Here is a 17,296-nt window from a genome sequence, read left to right on the forward strand (position 1 = left end):
CTCAATGAAGCCAATGTGTGGCCCTGGAGATCCCCGGGCTGCGAGGGGTGGTGGGACGAGCCCTCTTCAGTCCTGGAGAAGTGTCCCCGTGGGCTTTCTCCCAGCCAGGGCTTTTGTGGGTTCTCAGCAGAAGTTGTGTTCATTGTTATCATACATCGCAATAACGAAAATAATAGTAACATCCTAATCATAGGCTCCTGGGCAAGATGGTGGCTGCCTTAAAGGACTCTTTAACAACCGGGAGAGGAACTTTCTCAGAAACTAAAGAAGCTCCCCAGGCTTGGGGCTGCAGGGAAGTGACTGAGGGGAAAAGGCCTGCAACCCCAGCCATAACCCTTGGCCGCAGGTGGGCACCCTCTGCAGGGGGGCAACATCGACAGGAACATTTCCTGTCCCAGGGCTTGGCTCTGAAGCCCAGAGAGCCTGCCCTGGCCAAGGCTCACTCGTAGAAGCAGCAGAATCTCCAAGACAATCTTCTTCCCCCTGCACCTGCAGGAGCCCCTCCCCTGGCCTCTGCTGCAGGCACCTTATTTCAAAAGAGATCCTAGCAAGCTGAGTTCACCCAGTTGGTGCCGAGGAGAGGAGAGGGAGGTAAGGACAGGGAGGGAAAGGAGAAGGCGCTGGGAGAGCTTTGCCTGCAAGGAAGGGAACCCCAGCTTCAGCCAGGGGGTGGGGCGGAGCAGTGCCCTGGGGCAGAGATGCGCTGGCCCTGAGGGAGGGTAGCTGCGGAGCTAGCAAAGGCCCGACACCCAGGCACTGCCCCTTCTCCCACCCCCACCCTCCACTCCCGCCCCCCTCAGCAGAAGGTGGCTGCCTTCAGCAACTTCCCCCTGGGACCGCCCTCACCCAATGGCTGGGTCATAACAGTGGTCCCAAAGAGAACGGAGTTGATGGGCCGATCTGGGCCCAGTTCCTGGGCAGTTGTGGCCGGGGTGGTGGGGGAGGTCCCACAGAACCAACATGGGTTAAGGGGGTGGTAGTTAAAACGTGGGCCCCCAGCACTATGGGAGGCTGGGCCATCACCCTCAAAGGTGCCTGCCTGCTATGTAGTACATCCTGTTAATAGGAGGTGTGGAAGGCAGAGCTGGTTGAGTTTGATCTAAGAAACAAAAAGATTTATAGGGGTGGTGTTTGGCCTTCAGAAACTTGGACAGCAGCCAAGGGAGGGATGAGATGAGTTCTGTGGCCCCAGAACCCTGGGCGCAGTGGTGGCACATCGGGAAGCAGGAGCAGGCTTTAGCCTGACAGCAGGAACCTGCTAGGAACTAACAGAGCCGATGGGCAGGGAAAGGCCACCTCGTCAAGGAGTGAGCCCTGCAGTGCTGCGAATACCTGGGTGGACTCACATCCACCTGCCAGGGACAGGGTAGAGCGAGGTCCAATGCGGCCTCTAAGGCCCTCCTGACACAGCCCCAGGATCCTCCAGGGGTTCCTCCCTGTCCTCATGGGCCTGTTCACCTCGGCAGCCTCCTCGATGCCACGGCTCCCTCTGTGTCCTCCCTCTAGACGCTCAGGACCCCATAGGCCACATTCTCTCCTTTCCCGGGCTTGGCACCTGCAGATGTCTCTGCCATCCCCTACTCATCCTTCACTTCTCGTCATGAGCATCAGCTCTTCCAGGAAGATGAGAACCGCCTCTCCCTTATCATAAGGAACTCTCGTGCTTGTTTGAAAGCCTGTGTCCCCTGTGGACTTTCAGCATCACAAGGGCAGGGACCACCTCAGCCCGGTTTGCCTCTCCATCCTGGAGGAGATCACAGGGCCTGGCGCACAGCAAGTGTTTAAGAAGTAGGTGCTGAATGAATGAATGAGTGAATAATGTCAAAGGGACAGTCAACGGGCCTCCCAACACGGTACCCATGGGCCTCTCTAGAGACACTGACATCCCAGGGACTCTTCCTGGGGGTCCAGGTTAGGAAGATAAGCCCAGCTAGGGGAACCTCTAAGAGGTGAGGGTTGATGAAGACTAGAGGCAGCTGATGGGGTTGAGGTGAGGCAAGGTGCGACTGGCATTCAGGGAGCCAACAGAACGTGTCATTTTCTTGTTGGTTTCACCCCTCTCTTTATTTATATGTACACCCCACTTCTTCTCTGGAAGCATCAGGGAGTCGGGAGGTACGGATTCCAGTTCTGGGTCTGTTCTTGGGAAGCCCTAATGTAATGACTTCCCCTCTTGGGACCTCAATTTTCTCAACTTTGAACTTCACCACTTGGGCCGGATAATTTCTCAACCTTATATCCGTGGCTGGCATATGTCCTGGGGTCCGAAGGCCGGGTGAGCACTCCCAGAGCCTAAGTCTGAATCGGACTTCTGGTTTCCCCATGGCCACCCAGCCAGTGGGACAGAAGCCACCAGAAAAAGAGGCCTCTTCATCCAGGTGCGGTGGATCCTGCCTATAATCCCAGCACTGTGGGAGGCTGACACAGGCAGATCACTTGAGGTCAGGAGTTCAAGACCAGCCTGACCAACATGGGAAAACCCCGTCTCTACTAAAAATACAAAAAACTTAGCCAGGCGTGGTGGCACTTACCTGTAATCCCAGCTACTTGGGAGGCTGAGGCAGGAGAATTGCTTGAAGCCAGGAGGCAGAGGTTGCTGTGAGCCAAGATCACGCCACTGTACTCCAGTCTGGGCAACAGAGCGAGACTCCGTCTCAAAAAAGAAAAAAAAAATTAAAAAAACAAAAACAAATAACCTTTTCCCAGTTCATGTCCAGGAGGTCAGCATGGCTCCCCAGCTGCCCCTCCTCCCCAGAGTCAGGAAGGTGAGAAACGCAGCACTGCAGGCGCCTGGCTCCAGGGTGGAGTGTGGGTGTGGGTGGGCTTGCTGGAGCCCCCGCTTTCCTCCATCACAGGCAGTGCGACCCAGTGGTTTGGTGCAGTTGCTCGTGCCAGGCCCCCGGGGCCTGACTCCCACCTCTGCTGTGTATTAGCCCTGCGGGTGTGGGGCTGATGCCGTGTCTTGCATGCAAGGTCTTAGAAACGGTCTCCAGGAGACCAGGCTACTCCCATGCAGCAGACGGCAGGGAGAACTGAACCTGGCTGTTCTACAAGCCGCACAGCGTGTGTGCACACCAGACTTTTGATTTGTAATGAGTTTTACCCATATCTTGAATTGCAAAACGCATCTCCCACCTCCTTCCTCCTTGTGGGGCCACCTTTCTTGGGTCACTTTGGAGGGCACTGTGCTGAGACTAAGATGCATCTCCTCACCCCTACGACCTCACTTCCTTTCGTGGGGTGACTGACGTGTGCACACATCACCAGAGGACCTGGCAAACTCTGAGGAAGCCTTGTTGGGGGCTGGGGAGGGGGTGTTGGTGATGGTGGGGGATGGACGGGAGCTTTGCAGAGAAGGGGCTTTTGAGGTCCCTGGGTCCCAGCTGGGCTGAGCTGAGGTGCAAAAGTCTTCCTGCATCTGTTTTCTTAGGTCCTGTTTACAAGGAGGCTGAGTAGACTTCCAGGAGGAGAACGTGGGCCACGTCTGGACCTGGCTAGGGGCACCCACGGGCACATCTGTGAAGACTGGAGAACACGATGCCAGGGAGGGATGGGGCCCCTGAGGGGAGGATTCTGGTTCCCTGAGATAATGGAGTCACAGGGCTCAAGGACAAGTACCTGCACCCTCTCGGCCTGTCCTGGAAAGAAAAGTGATGAGTGTGGGGCCAGGTGAGCCTCCTGCACTCCTCCCTGCTGTCCTCCAGAGCTCAGGCAGCCTAGGATGGGGCCCCCAAGACCACAGAACAGCGAGGGGTGGATGGTTTCCCCATCCCTCCAAAGAAATCAGGCAAGGATTGAGGTCCAGGCCACCCATTATGACACCAAGGTGGCAGCCAGGAGTGATGGGAAGAGGTCAGGGCTGACCATCAAGGGCATGTGAGGGCCCCCAGTGGATGGTGGAAGGGGAGAGAACACAAACTGACTGAGGCCCAGGTTCTGCGCTAACACAGATAAAGATAAACACACCTGCACAGTTGGCTGTACACGTGACTGTGACTCATCCCCAAAGGCTTGGAAGACTGGGGGCGTTTGATCTGCATAACATAACTTGCCTAACATAAACATAATTTCAGTGGGCTGACATGTGAAGGAAGGGAATTACATGTGGAGGATAGATTTCAAGGTCTGATAGATTTCAAGGTCCAATAGATTCCCAAGGACTCCATCTTTTTCAAGCCAATCTGGATGAATAGCTACTTGGTGTGGTGGGTTAAAAATGGCTGCCAAGTCTTGGACTCTCCTCTTATTGAGAGGTGATGTCTAATTGTCTTCCAGGCAGCGGACACAGGCAGAAGCCAGAAGGCTTTTCCACCCTCACCTCAGCAGTCGCAAAGTATCACTTCCACTGCTTTCTATCACTCAAGCAAATCACTTACCCCTCATCCATTCATCCACTCATTCAACCATCCCTCCATTCTTCCATCACCCCTCCCATCTGCCCACCCACTCATTTATCCATCCAACCACCTGTCCACCCATCCACCCACCCACCCACCCCTCATCCAACTATCCAGTCATCCAACCATTCATTCATTTTTCCACTACATCTTCCGTTCACCCACCCACTCATCTATCCATGCAACTATCCATTCACCCATCCTTCCACCCATCCATTCATCCATCTATCCATTCAAACATCAACCCACCCATCTACCCACTCACCAACCACCCATCAATCCAAACACCTATCCACACACCCACTCACCCATCTATCTATCCATCCACCCATCCATCCACCCATCCACCCATCCACCCATCCATCCATCCATCCACCCATCCATCCATCCATCCTTCCACCCATCCATCCATCCTTCCATCCACCCATCCACCCATCCATCCATCCACCCATCCACCCATCCATCCATCCACCCATCCATCCATCCATCCATCCTTCCATCCATCCATCCTTCCATCCAACCAACCATACATCCATCCAGTCCATAAGCTGTGACTTTGGAGAGCCATGGGTATGAATCCTTTCCTGATGGCACTCACCCCCAGTGGGGAGAGTGACACACAAATACACGGGCCAAGTAACTGCAAACTGTGAGACATGCTTGAAGAAAAAGAACCAGGAGCTGTGAGGGAAAACATTACGGGAGCTCATCTAGATGGGGTGGGAGGAACGGCCAGCTGCTTGGAAGTATCTGGATGCTAACACGGCACACAGTAAAATCCAAACTGTAACCTCCTTTATTGGAGTGTTTGTATGATCCTGAAATCATTCAACAAATGGTCTGCAAGACCCAAAGTCCAACTCCAGCTCACTAGCAACTTTCAAAAGGCTGAAACCAGCAGTGCAAGCCCAGTCTGTCTCCCCTGGGCAAGCAGCCATGCTGCTGGCCACAGGCAGCCTCCCCGGGCTCAAGGGAGAGCCAGCAGTCGAGACCCCACCAGAGCCTCCTTTGCCTGCAGTTGCGTCATGAGCTGAGCCCCCTGTGCCAGCAGGGAGGCAGGAAAAGGAGACCTTGGAAGAGAGGGAGAGGGAGGCAGGACAAGCTCTGCTTCCCATTCCCCAGGGAGGCCAGAATGCTAATGTCTGCACTTAACCCAAATCTAAGCCCAGAAGGGAATGACAAATTGAAAGTCTGTCGTGATTCCCAGCCTTCTGTGTTTTCTGTTTTGGAATCTAGGAGGAAACTGGCAAATGCCAGAGTGGTCCCGTGGTACAAAGCCCCAGCACCACCACCACGCCTTCCTCTTGGGTACCTCCATCCAGAAAGAGCCCCTCAAGAACTTAGCTTGCTGGATCAGTGGTACCAGTCAGCCCTGGGCAGAATCGGTCAGACTCCCCAGGGCCCCTGTCACCCCCAATGCCTGGTCAGCACTGTCCTGTTCTTTCCCCTAGCCCAGCACCAGCTGCAGCCATCTCCCCTCAGAATGGCTGGTGGGATCCCCCCAGCAATCTCTCCCACCCCACCCCACATTGGCACCTCCAGTTCTCAGCCTGGACTAATTACAATCTTTGATGAGCAAAAGATACTCATGATGGAGACCTTCACCTGAAACAGGGGTGGCCAGCATCTGACGCCGTGTTCTGCTTGGCTGTGCCATCTGCTTCTGGGCAATGGACTCTTGAGGAACTAGCCTCATTGTGGAGCCCATTGAGGTGGCGGGGGGGGCGGGGGGTTACTGCAGACCCTCTCCCTTCCTCCTTCTGTCTTGTTGGCATCACAGTCAACCTCCATCAGAGTCTCTCTGTTCGTTGTCCTATCTGTTTCTGTCTTCTCTCATTGATATCCAAGGGGATGGGGAAGCAGGAGCTGGCCACATTATTGAATATAGAATGTAGATCTGGAAGGGACAAGGGCATGTGGGCCTGACCCCTGGGAGGCTACAGAGTCTTAATGCACAGACCAGGATCCACACACCCATCCTGCATGTGTAGCCTGAATAAATAATGCCCATCTCAGGGTTATTTTTCAAATGTATATGCATGCAGTTGCAAATAATCAAATACAAATTGATTTTAAACCACTACTGAATTCAAAGTAGCTTTTTGTCATTGTGAGTTTTCTCAACCAATGGAACCTAAAAATAAAAGTGCCGGCACGTGAAGAGATCCTCGAAGGGTTGGCATTAAAATGCAGTTCACGGGCTTGAAACGATGAAGAGCCACAATTCCATGGCAAATCCTTCTTTTTTGATAAAGAAATTGCTGTTCAGAGCAGTTAAAAGCCTTGGCCAAGGTCACACAGCTTGTGACAGTGGTAGAACCCGAACTCTCCCAGGCTCTGACCTCAGATCAGAGCAATTACCTTAATTCCTCTGAATTTCCACTTCCTCTTCTGTAAAATGGGATTGTTGAGAGAATTAAACGAAAGAATCTGGGCCTGGTGTTTGGTGTGATGCCAGCACACGGTAGGCACTCAGTAAGTGATGACCATCCCATTATTTTTCTCATTATCGCGATTATGTCCTGTTGCCTCATGCATTCTCCGTTTGCTTCTAAGGCAACTCACACTGGTGAAGTACTTGCCCACACACATACAATGGAGTTGGGTAGGCAACGCGGTCAGATAGCACAGTCCCCTTTAGCGCTATCCCACCGTGACCAGCACGCAGGAGTTGAGAAGCAAATGCCCCTCAGCATGGAGCCCTTGCACTGAGCTCCCACAGAGCTGGCACTTTTCCTCCTACAGCTCTGCTCTCTCAGAATTGTCTTTGCCTGGATCTGTGTCCTACATCAAAGAGCAAGCAAAGTGGGGATGGGAACCAGGTGAACACTTCACCAGGTAGCATCAATGCTTTACAGAACAATCAATCAATTGGTCAATGGGTGGATGGACGGGCAGATGAATGAATAAATGGGTGAAAGGTGGATGGATGGATGGATGGATGGATGGATGGATGAATGGATGGATGGATGGATGAATGGATGGAGGATGGGTGGGTGAATGGATGGATGGGTGAATGAGTGGAGGATGGGTGGGTGGGTAGATGAAAGAAAGGAAGGAAATACAGATAGATGAGTAGATGGATAAATGGACAGATTGATGAGTGGGTGGATGGACAGAAGGAAGGAAGAGAAGAAAGAGTGGATGGGTGGATGGATGAACAGGTTAATGAATGGATGAGTGGATAGAAGGAAGGGAGGAAGAAAATATGGATTGATAGATGGGTGGGTAGATGGGTCAATGGGTGGATGAATGAATGGGTGTGTGAGTAGAAGGAAGGAAGGAAATATGGATGAATAGATGGATCGGTGGGTAAATGGGTGGAGATGGGTGGCTGGATGGAAGGAAGGATGGAAGAAAACATGGAAGGATGTCCATTTGTAAATGAATAAAAGGACAGATGGATGGATGAGTGGGTTAATGGATAGAAGGAAGGAAGGAAAGATGGATGGATGGATGGATGGATGGATGGATGGATGGACAGATGAATGAATGGGTGGACGGATAGAAGCAAGGAAGGGCATATGGATGGGTGGATGGACCCTTTGCTCAAGATACTCCCTGGAACTGCAGAGAAAGGGGTTAAGCAAGAGGGTGAGGAAAGACTGGTTCAATACTTCAGGAAGGCTCCACATGAAATTTCCACAGGCACTAAAACCACCCAGCAGCTGTCCAGAGTCCTGGTGTCCCTGCTTACCCTAGTGTCTCTGCCCACACCTTGGAGATGGGAAGTGGAGGCCAACTGGGGAATAGGAGGAACCCAGAAAACCTCAGCAGTCGCCAGAGCAAACCACCTTCTGCCCTAAGCCGTGGAAAGGCTTAGAGGCCAGGCCTACCGGCCACAGAAAGTAGAAGAGAGTTGAATGGTGGTGGAATCAATGCAGTAGGCAGCAGCTAGCTAAGAAAGGATTTTCTCCGAGAAGGGCTCCAGGTCCCGGCCCAGGCCCTGGCCCTGCATGAAGGTTGGGGTGGGCCTCTTCCTCCCCGAGTCCAGGGCCAGGGCTCCACTCGGGGAGGGAGCTGGCAGCCACCTGGGGGCTCCTCGGGCTTGCATCTATTTGCAGCCTGGACTGCTTGCTTTATTTATTTGTGCTTTTGGCTCCCATGTGCCACAGACCCCGTGTGCTTTGTTCTGCCACTACACGGCCACATGGCCTTGGACAGTGCTGCAACCTTGCAACCCCCCAACCTCCTCCGCATCGACAACAGAAAGCCACCACACATGTGCACATACACACACACACACACACCAGTGCATGCACATATGCACACCAATGTGCACATGCACCTGCAGACATGAACACACACACGTGCCTGCAAGCACACACACACACACACACAAACACAAAGAGGCGCCCACTCTCTAGTCACAACTCTCCTCTCTCCTCTCTGGAGCCTGTCCCTGCTGTCTGGCCCATCCTCTGGCACCCCACTCACCTCTACTGATCCATGCATCTCTTTCTTCACACACACGAAAGCTTGTATCTGAAATGTTCACACTCATGTCTCAGCTTGAAAATTAAATCCCTTTAATGACTGAAGGTCCAGGTCCTTCTGCAAAGGAAACCCTGGAGCGAGTCCTTGGGTAAAGTTAAACATTCTTTTTGGAAGCCTGCCGGCCAGGCCCAGGCCAGATGCTGGAGAGGGAAGAGCCAGGGCTAGGTGGGCAGATTTCTCCTTTCTCCAGGTGTGAAGCTCAAGTGATCTCTTTGGGGACAACTAGCTGTAGCCAGCTGGGCTTACCAGCTCAGCCTCCCCGACAGCGTCCTAATGGAGAGCTATCTAGTGAATATTCCTTCAGGTCTTTTTTTCACTATTTTTATTAAAAGACAGTATAGGCCTGGGTTCAAATCCTGTTCTGCCACTTAGTAGCTGTGTGACTTTGGACAAGTCACTTAACCTCTCTGTGCCCTGATATCTTCAGTCTATAGAATGACGATAATGTCAATACCACCTCATTGCATTATTGTGAAGAGTGAATGGGAAGACACATACAGTCACTAGCACCGTGCCCAAGTTGTTAATAATGAAGATATTGCTGCCATTTTATTTACAGTGTACTAAATAGTGAACAATATGATTCTATTTACAGCAAACCGTGACGAATGGATGGCATGGGCTCAATGCCAGCTTCCAGCCCCAGTCACTAGGCTGCAGTTCAGCCCGCCTTGAGGTAAGGCTAAGGGAACTCGAGGCCCTGGCTCAGGCCTGGTCTATGCCTTGTCTTCTTGCTCCACGTCCTTGGATGCCGTTGCACACCCCACCCTGGGCTCACTGGGTTTTTCCCTTGGCCTCCACCTGCAGTTCCCAGGTTCAGATCTCAGGATATGTATCAAAGCTCAAGGAACAAGTTTCCTTCTGGGGCTGCCCATGTCCCCCAAGAATGGGCTGTCCCCTGGAAGAACCAGGGGAACACTCATCAGTCCTCTAGACCGTCTGAATCTGGTTGCTGGTGAGCCCAGAGAGGGGAAGCAACCTGCCCCGAGACACACAGCAAGGCAGCGGCAGGAGGCTCCCAAGGCTCTGAGCTCCAGCCTCTCACTCCACCACCAGACAAGTTTACAATGGAACTAGCTCACGCCCCAATGACATGGAAGGGAGAATGAGCCCTTGGTAAATATGAAAAGCCACCTCCTCCCTCCTGAAGTCTCCACCACCAACAGCTGCTCATACACTTCCTGCTATCTTCATGCTGTGGTCAAGGCTGACCTCTCTTCTCCGCCCTTCAGGAAGAGAAGACATTAAAGCATGTGAGAGAGGGGAGGGCCCTGGGGACGGGGAGCCGGCAGAGCCGCCAGCCTCGCTGAGTGCAGTGACAGAAAGCAGCCACTCCCGCCTTCAGTGTGGAGCCCAGGCCGCACCCAGCCTGGAGTCCGGGGCCTCGGGCAAGCTGCCTCCCTTCCAGGCCGGCGTGGGCCACTCCAGGACCCCGGGACTCCCTGCCCTCACTTTCACAGAGGCAGCTGGGTGTTCTGGGTGCACAGCTCCTGTCAGCAGAGCAGGCTCGGGAGCCCACTCGGCTTCAGGCAACCGTCAGCAAAAAACAGTAACAGCACGATCCCTCCTGCTCACAGGCACCTTCCATGCCAACAAGTCCTGCAGGAAAAGCCCAGATGACTCCAGGATGGGCCCCTGACTTCGAGGCAGGCCAGCCCCCTCGTTTCTTCACTTTTTTGACCCATGAGGAAACAGAAGCATTCATTAGCCAGAAGCATGTGGACGTCCATGCAGCCGGCAGCACCATGGCCTGGGCCAGCAGGGGCCGAGAACAGGACATCTGATTCTTTCCTCACCTTCCCTCAAGGACAAGGTCAGCCAACAGAGCATGGGGGCGAGGATGTGATGGAAGAATGCATTTATAACCAAGGAGAGCCAGACTGCCCTCACCGGCTAAGATTAGGCAATAAAGGAGTGCTGAGGTTTGCATAGAATCAGGGCTGCCTCCCTGGAAGAAGAGGACTGTGAACCAGGTTGAGAAGGCCCCAGGACTGAAGCATGTACCTAACTTCTGGTGTTAAAATGTCTGCACAGTTCTACCCGCCTGCTTGCTGGGCAGGGCAGCCACCTGCCAGCCGCTCCTGTGACCTCCGAGAATGGCTGAAACCTTTGAGGTGTCTGTCCAACACCAGCCGGGAAGTATTACAGCTGGGGCGTGTGTTTGGGGCTATTTCTGAGTGTCGCGGGAGAGAAGATGAAACGGCTGGTATTTCCTGATCACTCTCACTGGCTCATTGTGACCTTCGTGTAGCTTCAAGCAGTTCTGAGACTCCAGGAGCTGGGGTTGTATCAGACACTGCCAGTGAGTGGGGCAGACACGTTGAAGCAAGCTGGGCGTGGCAGAAAATCAGGTGTGCCCGAGGCCTGAGCACCCCCTCCCTTTTGGTCCTCACAGCAGTAGGATTCCCCCGTAGACATCTGGGTCCTGATTGCGTGGCTCTGGAGAGGGAGGAGAGGTTGTCCACAGCACCACCCCCTCTGCAGACACACACACACACACACACACACACGCACGCACACACCCACGCACACGCGCGGGCGCACACGCAAACACACACATGCACACACACACACACACATATCTGAACAGGCCAGGCTGGGTCAATGCAGTGTCTCGCTGTGAAACGAGGGGAGAGCAGACGCCCTGTCTGAGAGCCACATGAGCCAGCAGCCTGCGTAGGAGCAGCAAACCATGTCCGAGACTCTGGGTGGGCCTCGTTTATGTCTGGAAAGAAAAGGGATTCTGAGGAGGGCTGGGGCAGGCAGCCGGCTGCAGGGCAGGGAGCTCACCCCCATTCACCGCAGCCCGCAGCCCACCATATGGGCCAGGAGGCTCAGCAGGCCAGCCCTGGCTGCCAGGGTTCCCCGGGGACAGCTTTGGAGCGCCTGGCTCAGCGGCGCCTTTCTCTTGGATGTTTAACCTCCCAAAGCTGTTGGTGGTTGATCAGGCAAGCAGAGGGTGCTTCGACTCTGGCCGACTTGAAGAGCCCTCTTGCCTCTCCTGCATGGGATTTTCCTGCCCGTGGGTCTGTTGATGAAGGGGGGTATCCCTGGGTCACCACCAGCTAAAAGGCATTTCTTTAAAATAAAAAAAAAAAAGCCAGATATAGACAGCACTGCCTGCAGGAGCCAGGTGAAGAGCAGGATAGAAACAGTTGCCCAGATTCTCCAAGCCCAGGGATGACTCCCACCTTCACTGTCTGACCTCGGGCCTCAGGGCCCGGATAATTGTCTCATCGGGCCTCCACCCTAGACTGTCTGAATACTTCTGCAGCCCAGCCCTCACCACAGAGGCCATTGTCATTTTTTAAAAATAGTAATAATGGATAAACATTACATTTAAATTGTGATACATCTAGACAATGGAATATTACTCAGAGAGAAAGAGAAATGGGCTATCAAGCTACATAAAGACATGGAAGGAAATGTAAACACATATTGCTAGGTGAAAGAAGCCAGTTCCAAAGGCTGCAGCCTGTATGATTCTGACTATGTGACATTCTGGAAATGGTAAAACCGTGGGCCGGGCGCAGCGGCTCACACCTGTAATCCCAGCACTTTGGGAGGCTGAGGCAGGCGGATTATTTGAGGTCAGGAGTTCAAGACCAGCCTGACCAACATGACGAAACGCCATCTCTACTGAAAAAATGTATATACAAAAATTAGCTGGGCGTAGCAACATGGGCCTGTGGTCCCAGCTACTCAGGAGACTGAGGCAGAATTGCTTGAACCCCGGAGGCAGAGGTTGCAGTGAGCTGAGATCGTGCCACTGTACACCAGCCTGGGCAACAGAGCGAGACTCCCTCTCATGAAGACAGTAAACAGATCAGTGGCCACCGGGGTTTGGAGGGGAACGGAGGACGACTGTGTGGAGCGCAGGGGGTTTTGGTTAGTGAAATGATTCTATAACTTACTGGAACGGTGGATACAGGGCATTGTGCGTTTGCTGAAACCCACAGAGTATACAACACAAAGCGTGAACTCTAATGTTGACTGTGGACCCTAGTTAATGACAATGTATCGGCATTGGTTCAATTGGAACAAATGTGCCACACTAATGCAAGACCTCAGCAACAGGGAAAGTGTGTATGTTGGCAGTGGGGAGGGTAATACAGGAACACTGTATTTTCCACTCAATTTTTCTGTAGACCTAAAACTTCTCTAAAAAGTAGTCAATTAACTCTAGTCTGGGCAACATAGTGAGATCCCCATCTGTTAAAAAATATTTTTAGTAGACTCTAAATTAAATAATAATAACAGGCCGGGCGCAGTGGCTCACGCCTGTAATCCCAGCACTTTGGGAGGCCGAGGTGGGCGGATCACCTGAGGTCTGGAGTTGGAGACCAGCCTGACCAACATGGAGAAACCCTGTCTCTACTAAAAATACAAAATTAGCCGGGCGTGGTGACGCATGCCTGTAATCCCAGCTACTCGGGAGGCTGAGGCAGGAGAATTACTTGAACCCTGGAGGCGAAGGTTGTGGTGAGCCAGGATCACGCCATTGCACTCCAGCCTGGGCAACAAGAGCAAAACTCCATCTCAAAAAATAGTAACAGTAAATTACACACAGTGCACATTTCATTGTGTGTCTATTAACCATGCCTTTTATTTTCTGCATTCTGATGCTTTGACATCTTGGGGCCTTCCGGACCCTGGTGGGACTGCCCCCTCCCAGGGTTAGGTAATTTCTAAATGTAGCAAACAGCTCACCTTCTAAAGGGCCTTTCATATGCAAACCAACCAGTCCAGAGCCGACACCCCAGCCACCTCCTTTATCAGGCTCTGTCACTCTGGGCCACTATGCACCTGCCCTGATCACCCCAGGGCCAAGTGCCAGACATCTTGGGACAACCCCTATCCCCAGAGCCCTCTGAAACTATTCAAACTAGCAATCCTAAACCTGGTTACCCCACCCAGTCCTTCCCATGGAAACCACAGGAAAGGCTCCTGCCGGGCTCTACTTCCCTCTGCCTCTGGCCAGCCCTGGTGCTTCCCCGTGTGGCCTGCATGGTGTGGTCTGGGCCTTTCTCGAGGCTGTGAGTAATAAACTGTCTTGTCCATTGCCTGGTCCATTAGCCATATCAGACCTAAATAACAACAGCACCTACATTTTAAACAGCACTGACCTAGGACCGACACAGGGTGAGGCGCTGGACAAGTTATCCACCCGGGACTCTCGTTTTGAAGGTGAGCTTAGCTTGGTTTTCAGGGCAGCAGCAGCAGCTCCTAAATTGAAGGATTTTCAGCCTGTGGAGTAGCCATGAGACCCATGCTCTCTGGGAGTCCTGGACTGTGGGAGTAGGGATGGAGCCCACCCCGTTTACTCCCCAGGTGAATGAACTGAGGTCCAGAGAGGGGAGGATTTGCCCGAAGTAGCCAAGCTCACTAGCAGCCCATCTTGCACTTGGCACGTGTGGGAAGCCAGAGAAGCTGGGCACAGCTCAGTGTCTCATACCCTCTGCCATCCCTGGAGGGGTGAGGCTCAGACACCCACTGCCGACACAGACACCCAATTTCAGTCAAGCCCCCAGACCCCCAGCCTACCCATGGCAAGGACGTTCCAGCCAAGTTGCCTTTCTTCCTGTTCCTCGGTATCCTGTCCTCCTATCCGGGCCTCACCTGACCTCAGTGCCACCCAGGGCCCCAGCCCTCCAGTTCAGGAGGGCTCGAGACCTGCAGATAGGATCTTAGCACTGACACGTCAGAGGGTCCCCCGATGCACACGAGCCACCTCCCCTCCCTCACCGCTGCTGCGGGGCAAAGCCAAGCAGATGCTCTTAGCAGAGTGGCCCTGGGATGCCTTGGGAGGCACAACTGGTAGCTGCGTGCAGCTCAAAGCTGGAGCCACCTCCAATGCCCAGAGGAGGCTGGCCAGAGGGGCGAAGAGGAAACCAGGCTGTCACGTCAGGTCAAGTGATACATTCGGTGGTGGCCTGACCCCAGCCGGCTTGGGGAGGAAGCTTTGGGACCCGGACTCTCATGCCCAGACTCTGTGTGTGTGTGTGTGTGTGTGTGTGTGTGTACACGCGCATGTGCGTCTGTATGCACATACGTGTGTGTGCATACACGTGTGTGTGTGTGTGTGTGTGTGTGTGTGTGTGTGTGTGTGTGTGTAGGGGCAGAGTGGAGCTCTCCCTAAAAGTTCTTCTTAAATAGATAATGTTTATCAAGAAGTACCCAGACCAGCAGCGGGAAAAATACTTAATAACCACTTAAGTAAACAGCAAGATTGGCAGGAACCATTTTTCAAGAGAAAAGAGCTGGGAGAAGGCTGCCAAGCGATGGATGGAAAGTATAATAAATTCCACGTCACTGCAGAGGCTCTGGCTCTCCAAGGCACTCTGGGCCCATATCTGTCGCTAAGGCTCTGATGGGCCGGCACAGGACACTTCATCATCTTACTACTTTGACATATCACATCCCAAAAGGTGGTGCTGGGCTTGGGATGTGGTGGCTGTTCTTCCCAAACCACTGGGAGTTTGGAGAGTTCTGTGTCTGTGGAAGGGGAGCTGCGTCGAGCTCGCTGGGGCTGTGGCACCAGGAGGAAAGAGCATTTTCCAGGAGCCAGTGTCCCAGGCAGAGGATGGGAGGTGGCCTTAGGTGATGGCATATGAAGAGGGCCGTTCCTCCTCCTTCATGCAAGGATCATGCAGCTGGCCCTAAGCCAGCCTCCAGGCACTCTGGCCAAGCCTCATGTGCCCTTCCCCTTCCCCAGTAGTTCCCAGCGTGGGGCAAACAGTTCTGTCTTCTCAAGACCCAGGCGACGTGTCTCCTTTGCAGATGCTTCAGAATCCGGAGCAAGAACTCTGCAGAATGAGGCAGCTGAAGTGCCCCAGTGGAACCTCATTCTGCAGACCTAGCCCAGGGGAGGTTACCGGGCAGGCAGCTTCACAAACCCACACACAAGCAAAGGGATGTTTTATTTGAGACCACGAGGCCATGGTGATTCCCAACTCACCAATCCATGCTCCGGCACTGACCTGCTGTGTGAACTCAGACGAGCCCCTTAACCTCTCCTCCACCTCAGGTGTTCTCCCCCGTCAAATGCAATTCACAGTTTTAGCTCTGCCGGCCCCGCCAGGCTGTGGGCAGATCAGGTGAGAAAAAGGGATGTGAAAGCAAGTTTGTGAACGGCACAGCACGGAGCAAAGGCAGGACACTGTCACTTCCCATCATGGGTGCTGAACACAGAGCCACACCCCTGCCAGCCTCAGGCCGGGGTGCCCAGCCTCCCCCAAAAAGCTGCATCACAGGGCTCTCCCAAGCCCTTATTTGCATTTAGCTCCCCTCTGTGGTCCTCCCTGCAGTGGCTGAGGATGGTAATAATGACAGTAGCTGAGCTTCGTTGAGTGTGTTGCACAACAGCGCATTGCACTCTCCCAGCAACCCCGTTTTTCAGATGAGGAAGCTGAGGTGTAGAGAAGGTAAGAAATTGGCCAAAGTCAGAGTGAACGAGCAGTGAGGCTGGGTGTCCGCCTCGGATCTGTCCGGCAGCCCCTGGGCTGGGTTTCTCAGGCATTGGCCCTCCAGCTTGGTGATTTTTGCCAGCGTTGTGCCCACCCTGGACTATGATGTATAATATTGTGTGTGTATGTATTAGGTATAGTCATTTATTCAACACATTTTTATTGAGGACCTAATATATGTGCCAGGCATCACTCTGGCGTTAGACATAGGTAGTAAACCAAATGGACAAAAATACCTACCCATGTAGGGCTTTTTATTTTTTGAGACAGGGTCTTGCTGTGTCACCCAGGCTGGAGTGCAGTGGTGCAATCACGGCTCACTGCAGCCTCTGCCTCTGAGCTCAAGTGATCCTCCCACCTCAGCCTCCAAAGTACCTGGGACTACAGGTGCATACCGCCATGCCCACCTAGTTTTTGTTTTGTTTTGTTTTGTTTTTTTTGTAGAGACAAGTTTCACCATGTTCCCCAGGCTGGTCTCAAACTCCTGGGCTCAAAAGCAATCCGCCTACCTCAGTCTCCCAAAGTGCTGGGATTACAGGTATGAGCCACCCCTCCTGACCATGAACCTACTCACTTTTGAAGTAACGTTTATTTTCAGTCTGGGTATGGTGGCCTATAATCCCAGCACTTTGGGAGGCCAAGGCAGGTGGATCACTTGAGGTCAGGGGTTCAAGACCAGCCTGGTTAATACGGCCAAACCCCGTCTCTACCAAAAATACAAAAATTAGCCAGGTGTGGTGGTGCTCGCCTGTAGTCCCAGCTACTTGGGAGGCTGAGCCACAAGAATCACTTGAACCTGGGAGGTGGAGGTTGAAGTGAGCTGAGATCCTGCCACTGCCCTCCAGCCTAGGTGACAAAGGGAGACTCTGTCTCAAAAGAAAAAAATAATAATAATAACATTGATTTTTAAAAGACAAGTTCATGTCGCTACTACAA

The 17,296-nt window shown here is 53.1% G+C and overlaps 4 annotated features.

The window, feature by feature from the left end:
- Positions 2,885-3,384: an enhancer, noted in NCBI's record as "H3K4me1 hESC enhancer chr17:75852763-75853262 (GRCh37/hg19 assembly coordinates)". NCBI's record gives its function as "activates a minimal SCP1, AML or CMV promoter by ChIP-STARR-seq in naive H9 embryonic stem cells {active_cell/tissue: H9 hESC(naive)}" and the evidence as "EXISTENCE:reporter gene assay evidence [ECO:0000049][PMID:30033119]".
- Positions 4,927-5,428: an enhancer, noted in NCBI's record as "H3K4me1 hESC enhancer chr17:75854805-75855306 (GRCh37/hg19 assembly coordinates)". NCBI's record gives its function as "activates a minimal SCP1, AML or CMV promoter by ChIP-STARR-seq in naive H9 embryonic stem cells {active_cell/tissue: H9 hESC(naive)}" and the evidence as "EXISTENCE:reporter gene assay evidence [ECO:0000049][PMID:30033119]".
- Positions 5,429-5,928: an enhancer, noted in NCBI's record as "H3K4me1 hESC enhancer chr17:75855307-75855806 (GRCh37/hg19 assembly coordinates)". NCBI's record gives its function as "activates a minimal SCP1, AML or CMV promoter by ChIP-STARR-seq in naive H9 embryonic stem cells {active_cell/tissue: H9 hESC(naive)}" and the evidence as "EXISTENCE:reporter gene assay evidence [ECO:0000049][PMID:30033119]".
- Positions 15,786-15,875: an enhancer, noted in NCBI's record as "active region_12852". NCBI's record gives its function as "activates an Ori minimal core promoter by ATAC-STARR-seq in GM12878 lymphoblastoid cells {active_cell/tissue: GM12878}" and the evidence as "EXISTENCE:reporter gene assay evidence [ECO:0000049][PMID:35858748]".

The sequence above is a fragment of the Homo sapiens genome, chromosome 17, assembly GCF_000001405.40.
Source record: "Homo sapiens chromosome 17, GRCh38.p14 Primary Assembly".
NCBI lineage: Eukaryota > Metazoa > Chordata > Mammalia > Primates > Hominidae > Homo > Homo sapiens.